At 39.5% G+C, this 13,810-nt stretch overlaps 1 protein-coding gene across 1 annotated transcript; it reads left to right on the forward strand.

Annotated features, from left to right (window-relative positions):
- Positions 1–3,533: 3,533 nt before the first annotated feature.
- LCE1E (late cornified envelope 1E) lies at positions 3,534–5,703 on the forward strand. The gene is made up of 2 exons (NM_178353.2): positions 3,534–3,584; positions 4,555–5,703. Exon 2 carries the CDS (start codon positions 4,577–4,579, stop codon positions 4,931–4,933), a length of 357 nt encoding a protein of 118 aa, NP_848130.1. The 5' UTR covers positions 3,534–3,584; positions 4,555–4,576; the 3' UTR covers positions 4,934–5,703.
- The last annotated feature ends 8,107 nt before the right edge of the window (positions 5,704–13,810 follow it).

Raw genomic sequence — 13,810 nt, forward strand, 5'->3', positions numbered from 1 at the left:
TAAGTTTTAAAAATGCACTTATTGATTTTTCTTTTATATTTCCTTTTCCCTTTTTCACTCAAAATAATTTTCTTTATCAATGAATTAGAAACCATAAATGTCTTCATCTAAGTATGCATTAAAAGGAATTTACAATACAAAATAAAAGTTTTGGGAAAAAAAGGGGAATAAACTAAAAACTGCTAATGTACGAGATCCTTCTCTGGAAACTGCTATAGGGTCCAGGGAACAGACAGAAATCCAAGCAGTTAGAATTACTTCCCATGGATCTCAGTCATGTTTCCTCTCATCTCCTGAGATTATAAGCGACAGATATCCTTGATGAAAAGATAACCCCAGAAAGCCAATCACTTGTCAGTAAATGTTTCTTCCATTGAGATGATATCCAGCCAATTTAAAACTAACAGCCAAGGCTTAGCAATGAGTCCTCATGATACTACAACCATGCTGCTGATTTATCACCAAACCCAAGTCAGAGTAATTGATGTTGGGTGCTGCCCTTCCTGGAGACAGAGGCATGGCTCAGTGGCATGTCAGCCCCATCATACCATCATAGCAGGAATCAGTGAGCTGGGCGTATGAGTAGTACTTCCTGTGTAAGCCACAGAATCAATACCCTGACCTCTCCTTCAATAACAAAGCCCTTTGGGATAACCTAAGTACAAACATCATCCTTGAATAATACAGAGGCATCTTTCCAAAGGATATGGCCAGCACTTATCATTGGGCATGTCTTAGGGTCAATCCCATATGGGATGATCTCGAGTCAGATGGAAGAGCTATTTACAAGCTCTCAGGTGCTATGATATGCTGATGAAATGACTACATGCATATCCTTGCTCTAAGCACTGATAAAAGATACAAACATCACATCCAGACAAAATATTCAATCTCGTTTCAGAGATACATCACATAAAGCAAAACACAGGTAAAGCAAGGAGTAGTCTGTTCAAAGTAGAGTTAACTGACCAAGTCAGCTGTACAGGATTTATTCTCTGAAAAAGCAAAGCAGTTGGATGGGCACAGTGGTTCACGCTTGTAATTCTAGCACTTTGGGAGGCCTAGACAGGAGGATCACTTGAGGCCAGGAGTTTAAGAAGACCCTGGCCAACATAATGAGACTCCAACTTTACAAAAAAATTTAAAATTACCTGGGCATGATGGTGTGTGCCTGTAGTTCTAGCAGGAGTTGAAAGCTGCAGTAAGCCCTGATTTGCACCACAGCACTCCAGTCTGGATGACAGAGCAGGACCTTGTCTCAAAAAAAGGAGGAGGTGGGGGAAGAAAAGAAAAACTTGTAGAAATAGAATAGGGTCACATCACACAGGTCCTTGAATGCGAAGGGTAAGAGTTTTGGCTTTATCATGAATCAGTGAAAGCCTTTGAGAAGACTTCTTCAATGGTAGCATGACTATTTACATTTTCATCCAAACTGGGACACAATTGAGATCGAAAAGAAGGTTTATGATAATATATGTCGAGACAAAAGGTATAATCCCAAACTGTTGCTGGCAAACTGGGATGTTTGGTCACTCTATTAAGGTCACGGGCAATTATTTCTAGAACAGTTCTAATGAAGAAGAGCTAGAGAGAGAAACTAAGAAGGTGAAAGGCAGAGAAACAGCTAAGAAAATATGTACACACAGAGTCACTATAAAATATATGATGTGTGTGTATGTTTATATAAACACACACATTTAGTGTATATATTATTTGGATACCTCAATACACATGCACAAACATATTTATATTTTGCAACTACTTGTGAACTAGCTTCACTCTTCCCCTTGTGACCTAGATATCACTAATGCATTATATTGGTCCAGGCTCTGGAGAATTTTAGATGCTCCCCCAGTATTTCTACCACTGACAGGAAAGAGAGGGTTTTTCCTCACATGTTTATTCTGGCTTTAGTACACCTTTTTCTAATTCATGAATTAGTTTTATGTTGGAAAAGCTCACCATATTGTTGTACACAAACTTGAACCAGAGAGGAACTCTTGCCCCTTCCCTTCATCTACTGAAAGTAGAGGGAAAGAAAACACTTTTCAAGCAGAGACAATAGGGGGAAACCTAGGAGGAGGGAGCTGCTGAGGTGCAAAAGCTTCTAGAGGCTCTCCCACCATTTCTTGGACAGTGTCCTGCACCTCAGGCCTGGCCTTCCGCCAAGTCCCCCTCTCCCCTTCCATCTCCCCATGTGTGCCCTTACCTCCTTCCCAACAAAGGGTCCTTGGAAATTCCGGGATTTTTCACTCTACGTGGAGCGATGTAGAGTTCTAGAGTTCTACTCCACACAAATCCCTTCCCTATTCACATTCACAGTCATTCCTACTTCATAGTCAAAGACATCAATATACTTAGCAGAACAAAGGGGTCTTAAACACTAAAAAAGGAAACAATCGACAAAAACCAAACAACCCCAAATCCCAGATTTATACCCCACCCCACCCCCCATCTTGGAAAGCAGCTATGACTTCAAAATACCTATTCGTTTATTGACGCATATGTAGGCATCACATTTTTTAAGGGTCTATCATGTCACGGACCTTCTACCAGACTTTTTCCTTATATTATTTTACTGGCTGGCTCAATACCCTGTGAGATATCTGTATCACTATCTGTACTTTTAAACTGAGGAAGAAACAAGAACAACAAACTGAAAAGGAGTCAAGTTAAGTAATTTTCACAAGTATACACAGCTACTAGGTGGCAGAACCAGGGCAGTTTTCTAGCCTGTCTGACTGCAAGCTCTTAAATATAATGGAATGCATCAGGGGTCAGCATTTTTTTTTTTTTTAAAACTCTAAGAGATTAAATGTTTTAGGCTTTGGGAACCATAGCATCTCTATCCCAGTTACTCAGCTCTCCATTTTAGTGTGAAAAGTACCACAGACACAATCAATAAAATAATAAATGTGGCTCATTATCTAAGTCAGAGAAATAAAACTTTATGAAGCCTGAAATTTGAATTTAATATAATTTTTATATGTTGTAAAATATTTTCCTCTTTTGCTTTCTTTTCTCAACAATTTAAACGCATTAAAAACCTTGGAGGCTATCCAAATCAGACAGCAGGCAGATTTGGGCTGCAGACAGAAGTTAGCTGACCCCCAGTAGCCTGGAGGATTATTTAGACTTAAGAGGGAAAATGTGAAAGAATCTCTGAATTACAGTCCAAACTCAGCTGCCAGAAGCCAATGAGTTCCATGGGCAACAAGAAAGAACAAAGGAATTGCAGGCCAGTGTGCAAAAACGAGAACTAAAAAGCGGTCAAGGCTGGGATTTACCAGGAAGAATGGGGCAGAAGGTCCTGTATAAACTGTCCCCACCCTTTGTTTCTAAGCAGCCCTACTCCTATCTAGCAGCAGGTGCCCTCAGCCTGGGGAGGGAGGCAGGTGAGGAGCTGCTAGTCACCACCTATCACAGGACCCACGTGGGTATCAGGGGGCAAGTCCTCTCATGCCCAGGCCCTGTCTCACCACAGGAGGCAGAAACCCAGGCTGGGATAAAAGGGCTCAGGGCCAGAGCACCCCATTCACTCACTTCCTGAGGTGCCGAAGGACCCTGTGCTGCCTGTGACTTTGGTATGTGTCCTCTGGGAACAGAAGCAGGGGATTCCACAGAGGGATGCTCAGATCAGGTTAGGAGGAGTGGTGGGCAGGGCTTCCATGGGGGAGGAGACTGGTAACAACTGGGACAGAAAGAATAACTGGTTGGCTGTGCCTTTGGGCTCCAAAAAAAACTGCTGTAGGGTGGAGCAGTCCTCTCAGGATGGGAAACCTTAAAGCACAGAGACCTGGGGCACTCTGACAGACCACAGGAAGGAAGCCCACCTCTGAAAATACAACCTTGTCCCTGTCTGCAAGGAAGAGCTGGAGCCATGGACAGGGGACCAGAGGCTCCTTTGGGCTTATGGAACCGACACTTTTATGGGTCTGGGATTTGTTCACAAATTTCCCAGGTTGATTAGGACACACCAAACCTGAGACTCACCATGCCCACCCATCAGCCTGAGCAGGTGGTAAGCTGAGGAAATCTGAGCTCCAGCCTAAGATCAGGAGGCCAGGGTTCAAATTCCAGGGCTGCAGGAATTTATGGGTTTGTCTGTCTCTGCTTCAACAAAGTAAGTTTACTGAGCCAGTAATATCCAAGATCTTTTGTAGTATGGATATTGCAGAGTAAAACTACCTTGCAAGTTACAAAAGGTAGTGATTACTTTTTCTCTTTAAGAAATAATTTTCCCTAAATGACCTATAAATCATATAATTTCAGGGTGTGAAGACATATTTGGAATAATTTCCTCCTTCACTTATAACACTTTGGACTGTCAGATGCATTTTGTAATATTGTTTGGTCTTAGTTTACAATTTTGTGTAGCAGATAACACACAAGGGTATCCTGAGCTTGCAAAGAGATGATGAGAGAATTTGGGGAAAGTATTGGAAGTGAAACTACTGGACATGATGTTTCCATAATTACAAGTCATGCTAAGAGTGTCAGAGGGGCAGAGGTGGCCTCTGCCTAGGTCTGATTTTCTGTCTGACTCTCCCTCAGCTCCTAAGTACCTACTGCCGAGATGTCCTGCCAGCAGAGCCAGCAGCAGTGCCAGCCCCCTCCCAAGTGCACTCCCAAGTGCCCTCCCAAGTGTCCCACCCCCAAATGCCCTCCAAAGTGTCCCCCTAAGTGCCCTCCAGTCTCTTCCTGCTGCAGTGTCAGCTCCGGAGGCTGCTGTGGCTCCAGCTCTGGGGGCAGCTGTGGCTCCAGCTCTGGGGGCTGCTGCAGCTCTGGGGGAGGTGGCTGCTGCCTGAGCCACCACAGGCACCACAGGTCCCACCGTCACAGACCCCAGAGCTCTGACTGCTGCAGCCAGCCCTCAGGGGGCTCCAGCTGCTGTGGAGGGGGCAGCGGCCAGCACTCTGGAGGCTGCTGCTGAAGTGGACCTTGACTTCCTCTTCCTTCTGATTCTGCCTGAATAGCTGAGAGGTTCCAGCAAAAGCTTGAAGTCTTGCCTGGAGAATCCCTCTGCTCTGGTGTCAGGAAACCCAAAATCTTTCTCCTTAATGGCATTTAGAGACTTTCTTCTGCAGATCCATGGCTGCCCTGGGAACTCCAAAGCACACACCTACTTCCTCCCCAGCTCACGCTGCTGTATTCTGTGCTGCCTGAACTGAAGAAATAAAATCCAGAATCTGCCCCCCAACTTGCTACCAGCCTGCTTGATTTTCCTGTTTGTGTCATCCTTGTTCTGCTCCCCTGTGTCTGCTGGTGGCTGCTGAGGCCTTGGTGGACAGAGGATGGGGAAAGGGGTCAGGAGGAAAAAGCTTGCATTTCTGTGTGTTTTGTGTTTTTTCTTCTTTCGGTGTTTTCCTTTTAAACCAAGGGACTGAAATAGCATTGAGAAATATTTTTCTTTCAAATTCTGGTTCCTTTCACCTATGTAACCGCATCCCTCAGGCATGGCCAGGAGGCCGACTTCATCCTCCTTCCCACTATCACCTCTTCATTCTTGTGTTCCTCGTTCCCCACTCCTTCCACTAACAATCTCCCTGGACTCCTCCTCCATACTGTATGTGCATGCATTCACACACACATATGTACATGCACATAGATGAGATGAATCTGCATTGTAAAAAAATTAAATCACATTTAGTGCTGTATAATTTGCATGCAATAAAATTCAATAAAATTAAATGTAAAATTAAATGAGTTTTGTCAAATATTTATAGCTGCATAACTATAATTGCAATAACACACCAAAAATGTAGTTAATTTATTGAGAAGATTTTCAAAATAACACAAAATCTAGAATACATAAATGAAAATGTGGATACAGTTAACCACATTAAAATGAAATTCTAAGTATCAGATAGTACCACTAAAAGCAAGGAAGGGTAAAAAATTAACTTGGGAAAATTATAATATATGTGATAGGGAGATGACTCATATTGGTAAGAAACATAGAGTTCATAAAAACTGAGTAAATAAATGTTCCTATAAAAGTTTTGGCAGAATTCATATTTCATTCACAAATAATTAATGAAGAAAACCAATAACTTCTGAAATTAGATTTTAAAAGCAATTTAATCTCATTAATAAAAAGAGCATAGCTCATCTTTTGGGGATGAGAACTCATTATTGGTTCACAAGCTTTCTGTGAGCATTTTAGCTTACAAAACATTGTTGTTGAAGCTATGTGGAAATGATCACTTACTCTTTGTAATTTAGAATGCTAACTGGCATAACAATTCATGCAACAGATTTATTTGGTGATTAATTTATTCATTTACCAATACTTATTGGATTTCTAGTATTAGGCAAATGAGGCAAAATATAATAATAAAAAATAGATATTTAAGAGTGTTCACTGCTGAAGTGACATCAGATGATGACATAAGATGGTAAATAAGGAACCTCCAGGCTCTAGCTCACTTCAGAGACATTGGACAATGATATAAAGACAAAAACAGCTTTCCGAAAACTTTAAAAACAAAGTAAGAAGCTTCAGCAACAAAGCAAAGTTTTAATAAAGAAAGTAACCATACTCAAATGGCAGGAAATTTTGTGGTGCTTTTGCTCACCCCTACCCCATCCCATCTTACGCATAATGTGGTGTGGTCAGAGGAGGCTGCGCAATTTCTCAGCCTTTCTTACAGATGGAAGGAAAAGAGTGGAACTTGCATGCAAGATTGTGGGTTGTGTGAGGACTGTGTGAGGAACTGGTTTTTGTCTCACCTGAGTTTAGAGCACCAATGAGTCAGTGGCATATTCTGGATATTCGGTTGAAGGCTGCTGAAAGCAGAGGCTGCACTGTGGCATGAAACAGCTGCAAGGGGACTGCAGACTTGCAAGTGCCTAAAGACAAGAGATTAGCAGCAGAGGAAAATCATAGGCAAAGTCTCCAAGAAGAAGCAAGAGTAAGACTCTGAAAAATGTAGACATTTAAAAGCAGTCAGGGAACTGAAACAAAAGTGTCTGTGCACACACACAAACACAAACACAAGCACGAACACTTGCTCAGGGAAGGTGCATCCCCAGAAAAGGTTTGAGAGGACTCTTGAGCCTTCACACTACACTGAAGGTTTTCCACAGCACAGAGCCAGCTCCCAAAGATGGAGAGACATGGCTGTTTTTGCAAACATCTAATTTTCAACAAAAAAGAAACACAAGGCATGTAAAGAGACAGAGGATTGACCTATTTACAGAAACAAAATATATCTCTAGAAACTGACTTTAAAGAAACACAAGCCACTGAATTCCTTGAAGAAGCTTTAAAACAATTGTCTTAAATGCTCAAAGAATTAAAGGAGAACACACAGAGACAACTAATAAAATTAAGAAAATTATGTATTAACAAATAAAAATATCAACAGATAGAAATTATTTTTACAAAAACTCACAAAGAAGTTCTGGGGCTGAAGAATACAATAACTTAATAGAAAAATTATTTAGAGAAGTTCAACAGCAGAGTCAAAGAGGCAGAAGAAAGAATCAGCAAATTTGAAGACAAGTTATTTGAAATTATTGAATTTGAGGAGGAAAATGAAAATAAAGCGAAAAAACCTGAGACTTATTAGACAAAATAGACTTTAACTCAAAGACTGTTACAAAAGACAAATAAGGACATTACATAATGATAAAAGGAATAATTTAACAAGAATATAGAACCATTATAAACACACATGTGCCTCAAATCAGAGCTCCAACATATACGAAGCAAATATTGACTGAGTTAAAGGGAGAAATGGAGAGGTCTTTAATAATAGTAAGAGACTTCATATTCCACTTTCAGTAATAGGTAGAACAACCATACAGAATATCAATAAGTATACAGAGGACATGGAATACACTATACATCAATTGGACCAAAAGACATATGCAGAACATTCCACCTGGGATTAGCAGAGTACACATTTATCTCAAATACACATGCAACATTCTCCCGGATAGGCCTCATACGGAAGCCCACAAAACAAGTCTTAATAAATGTTAAAATACTGAAACTAGACAAATATCTTTTTCCAACTACAATGGAATAAGACTAGAATTCAGTAGCAAAAGGAAAACTGGAAAATCCACAAATATGTGGAAATTAAACAACACACTCTTATACAACCAATGGGTCAGAGTAAAAATTACAAAGGAAGTTATAACATATCTTGAGAAAATGAAAATGAGAACACAGCATACCAAAATTTATGAGATGCAAAGAAAGCAGTGCTAGGAGAGGAATTTATACCTATAAACTCTTACATTAAAAAGAAAAAAAATCTCAAATCAGTAACCTAGTTTTACACCTTAAGACTTAAGAAACCAAAAGAAAATTAAAAAAATAAAACAAACAAACAAACAACAACAACAAAAAAAAAAACCGTCTGCATCAAAGCTAGTAGAAGGAATGAGGAAATAAAAAAAGATTAGGACAGAAATAAATGAAGTGAAAACTAGAAAAATCAATAGTGAAAATCAACAAAACCAAAAGTTTGTTCTTTGAGAAGACCACAAAAACTGATAAACTTTTCACTAGCTTGAAGAAGAAAAAAGAGAAGAATCAAAGAACTAAAATAAAAATGAGAGGGAAGGCATTACAACTAACTTATAGAAATAAAAAATTATAGGAGAATACCATGAACAATTGTATGCTAAATTGGATAACCTAGATGAAATGGATAGATCCCTAGAAACAAATCTGAAAAGACCTATAACTAGCAAAGATCAAAACTCTGCCAACAGAATAAAGTGCAGGACCAGACAGCTTCACTCATTAATTCTACCAAACATTTGAAGAGAAATCAACACAAATCTTACTCAATGCTTCCAAAAAATTGAAGAAATGAGGACATTTATGAATTCGTTCTCTGAGGCCAGCATTATCCTGATGCCAAAGCCAGAAAACTACATAACAATATCTCTGATGATATTGAGGGATGATAAAAATCCTCAACAGCATATCAAAAGGATTATACACCTTGACTAATTGTGAATTATTCCTCAAATAGCCAAACCAATGCTGAAGAAGAAAAATATAGTTAGAGTCACATACTTCCTGACTTTAAAACTTATCACAGACAGACATAGTGGTGCATACCTGTAGTCTCGGCCACTCAGGAGGCAGAGGATAGAGGATCCCTTGATCCCAGGAGTTCTAGACAAGCCTGAGCAACATAGTGAGACCTTGTCTCTAAAAAAAAATAAAAGTAAATTAACACAATTTATTACAACAAAGCAACCATAATGAAAATAATGTGTTATTGGCATAAAGATAGACATATAGGTCAATGAAATAGAATAGAAGAGTAGCAGAGAAACTTAAAATAAATAAACCTTCATATATATGGTCAAATTATTCTTTTTTTGTCCAAAAACAGGATCTTGCTATGTTGCCCAGGCAGGACTCAAACTCCTGGACTCAAGCAATCCTCCTGTCTCAGCCTCCCGAGTAGCTGGAGCTATAGGCACAAACTATCATGCCTAGCTGATTAAAATGATTCTTGATAAGGGTGCCAATACCACTCAATGGAGAAAGGACAATCTTTTCAACAGGTGGTGTTGGGAAATTTAGATATGCACATGCAAAAGCATGAAGCTGGACCCTCAGGTTACACCATACACAAAAATTAACTCATTAAGGATCAAAGACATAAACATAGAGTTAAAACTACAGGCTGGGCGTGGTGGCTAACCCCTGTAATCCCAGCACTTTGGGAAGCCAAGGCAGGCAGATCACAAGGTCAAGAGATAGAGACCAGGCTGGCCAACATGGTGAAACCCCATCTCTACTAAAAATACAAAAATTAGCTGTGTATGGTGGTGCATACCTGTAGTCCCAGCTACTTGGGAGGCTGAGGCAGGAGAATCGCTTGAACCCGGGAGGTGGAGGTTGCAGTGAGCCAAGATCATGCAACTGCACTCCAGCCTGCACGACAGAGCAAGACTCCATCTCAAAATAAATAAATAAATAAATAAACTACAAAATTTCTAAAAGGAAACATAGGAGGAAATCTTCATGACATTGGATTTGACAATGATTTCTTAACTATGATACCAAAAGCACAGGCAACAAATGTAAAAATAGATAAATTAGACTACATAAACATTAGAAATGTATGTGAATCAGTGAACAAAGTCAATACCATGAAAAGGAAATCTTTGTTATGGGAGCAAATATTAGCAAATCGTGTATCTGGTAGTGGGTTGCTATACAAAATATGTAAAGAACCCCCACAATTAAACAACAAGTAAACAAACAACCTTATTAAAAATGGAAAAAAAAACTTGAATAGACACTTATCCAAAAGAAATTTACAAATAGCCAAAAGACACATGAAAGTATGCTCAACACCATTCATAATTAGATTAAATTATTTAAAGTAAAACCCACAGTAAGATATCACTTCAAACCCGAGAGAATGACTACTATAAAAAATAAAGCAAAACAAAACAGAAAATAACAAGTGTTGGTGAGGATGTGGAGGAATTAGAACCCTTGTGCACTGTTGGTGAGCATATAAAATGGTATAATTACTATGAAAAAGAGCATGGTGATTCCTCAAAAAGTTAATAGAATTAACATAGGGTCCAGCAATTCCACTTGTGGGTATATACAATACAAAAAGATTGAAAGTAGAGTCTTGACAGGGTACTTGTACACCCACGTTCATAGCTTTATTATTCACAATAGCTAAAAGGTGGAAGCAATCCAAGCATTCACTGCTGGATGATTATAGAAGCAAAAGGAGGCATACACATACAATGTGATATTATATGGCCTTAAAAAGGTAAGAAATTTATGCACATGCTACAATATGAATGAATCCTAAAGATATGCTAAATCAAATAAGCCAGTCACAAAAAGACAAACACTGTATGATTCCACTTATGTGAGATATGGGGTGTAGTCCATTTCATAGAAAAAGAAAGTAAAATGGTGATTGCCAGGGGCTGGGGAGAGGGAGTAAGAGAGAACTGTTGTTTAATGAGCGTAGAGTTTCAGTGTTGCAAGAAGACAAAAATTCTAGAGATTGGCTACACAACGATGTGATGCTATTTAACATTACTAAACTGTGCACTAAAAAAATGATTAAGACAGTAAATTTTGGATTATGTATTTTACCAATTTTTTTAGGAAAGTATTCACTGCAAAAATTTAGGAGAGTTCAACACAGTTGCAGTATATCAATATATTAACAATCATAACAACAACAGCAATAAAAATATTTTTAAAATATACTATTTAAATAGAATAGAATTTTCTTCTAGACTTTAATAGTATTTTCTCATCACTGTAATTGTTTAAAGGGTTGTAGATATGGAAAGAACAAAACAAAGATTACTAACTTAACTTGTTACTGGTTATAGAACACATACAAAAAATTATTCCATTTGAATTATTTCTGGTTAGATCGCAATAGTATTCACTCACATCCCATGAGACGGTGAATTTTTGACTACCTAAAAGAGAAAAACCTTGACAAATAGGAAATTTCAGAAAGTCAGTGCTTTGCTGGACAAGATATCTTATTTGACCTAATAGCTAAGCCATGATATCTCATAGCCAAGATTCAAGTTCCAATCTTCCTAATACAACTATGTTGCTGACTCAACACCTACATCTGAGTTATGTCAGTTGAGAGCTTGGGTGTTGCCCTGCATGAAGACAGAGGCATGGACCAGATGGTATCCCAGCCCTATCATCCTAGATACCAGGAGTTGAACTTCTGAGTAGACCTGCCATTGTGACGACCTGGGAACCAATGTCCTGACCACTCCCCCATTACTAAGCCCTTTGGAACAATCTGAGCAGGAGAACAAATGTCATACCCAGGAGGGATGGTGTCAGACCTCTCAGGGTGATGTGGCCCACACACCTCACTGAGCCTGTCTCAGAGTGTGTCTCCTATGAGGGTGGCCTGAGTCATAAGGAATAGCTGTTTATAAACTGTAAATCAATGCTAATACCAATGAGAGCATTTAAAAGTCATTAAATATCCATTGTGCACATAGCTCTGTGTTGAAAAACGGAGGTAAGAAGTATGAAACACCCAAGGCAGGCCATCAAAGCATTTACTGTTATCTCATTAGAGTGATATGCCACATGAAGGATAAATAAAAAAGTGGGATTGAGCCACACTGTCCTGGAAGGGTAGAGGCCACGGCATGCACTGCAGGGAGAAGCATAATCAAAGTACAGAATATAATCCAGTTCAGTTTCAGAACATTTCTGAGAGTAGATGACAAAGGCTTAAACTAAAGGGAGAACACAGAGTCTTATTTCACTGAAGGAATTTGGACATTTACCCTTATACAGTGTGCAATCATGAACAAGACTTTACTAATGATTTAGTGTTAATTATGTACAGGGATGGAAGATGTTTTCTTGGATGTCATAAAAGAACAGAATCAAAGACACACTACAGTGTTTGGAGATACTACGTTATCACAGGAGTCTGGGCAGCTGTAATAATTGATGCTCTGAGACAGGTGGTACACACACATATACATCTCTCTCAATATGTATGCTCTGTATATGTGTTTATAAATATACATGTATCTCCACCACGTTTTGGTTAGGGTCACCATGTCCATTTTGACCTAGATATCATTCCCAAGTTCTGGGCATATCCAGAGTCTGTCAGGGGCTGGGAAGAAGAGGACTTGTCCCTCATATGGTTTAATCTGGCTTTTCTTGGTCTTCCTCTGAAGAAATAGTTTAATTTGTGGATAACCTTGCAGTCATGGCTGTCTTAGTGACTAGTGTGTCCTAGAATGAACAGCAGCCCATTTCATTAATATCCTAAAAATGTATAAATTCAGAACACTCCATTCATATAAATCCTGTGGACATGTAGAAAGCTAGTGATTCTAGTGGAGAGAGAGGAGAGGGGCTTCCAAAGTAGCAGCATAAACACATTCACATTAAATATTAAGGACTCTTGTTCTTAAAAGGCACCCGTCCCCTTATGGTCCAGGACGGGGTTCTGCCAGCCATTTGACCCCACATGGAAGCGTAGACTTATAATGTCTCACAACCATGTCTCTTTTCTTCCTGTTTCTCATCTGTGACCATCATCCGGTGCTCCCAGTGTGAACCCAGAAAAGTCCAAATTCTCACACCAATACAAAGAGCAGAGCTGCTGCTTCTTGTTTCTCTAATGAGCTGCTTCCTTGTTCACATCTCAGTGCTGACACATCAAGGACCCCACCAGAAGAAAAGGGCTATTTAAAAGCAAACAGATCACCAAACAGCCAGACTCACTCTCATTAGAAAAAAGCTGTGCTTCGTTTGTTAAACAAAGATCAGTATCTTCATTCTGTATTCAGCAAGTTATGAATGTTTCACTTATTCAGAGCCTACAATGTTTCAGTCTCTCTGTCAGGCACATTTTCTCTTTTTTGTGTTACTTTATTGACTTTCACAACCAACTAATTCTTCTGTAACTAATTCTTTTTCATCTTCCAGCTTTATGGTTTAAAAAATGGTACAGGCTAAATAGTTTCAACAGTCCCATCTCGCAGGGCCTGGTCCTGGGCCGGGTTATACTTCCAGGGTTTTACTTGTGTAGATGTCTACACTGCACCCACAGCCACACAGTTTGGTGGTGCACAGGGACAGAAATAAACATGCATGGAAACCTCAGGGATTAGTACTTCAACTTCAACCCAGGCTGCACGGAGCATCAGGTACTTCGGAAGAGACAGAAATGAGATAGGTCCTAAGTTCTAAGACTGAGAACTGAGAGGCTCTCAGGGCAAGCAGCCTTCAAGTGAATGAGGTAGGTGATGGTAGGAGTCATCCTGGAACCCCGTTTCAAGT

This window comes from Homo sapiens, chromosome 1 (genome assembly GCF_000001405.40).
Source record: "Homo sapiens chromosome 1, GRCh38.p14 Primary Assembly".
NCBI classification, from domain to species: domain Eukaryota; kingdom Metazoa; phylum Chordata; class Mammalia; order Primates; family Hominidae; genus Homo; species Homo sapiens.

Excerpts from the sequence above, each read along its gene's own strand:
- LCE1E (NM_178353.2), top strand. The coding sequence starts at position 4,577 with ATGTCCTGCCAGCAGAGCCAGCAGCAGTGCCAGCCCCCTCCCAAGTGC.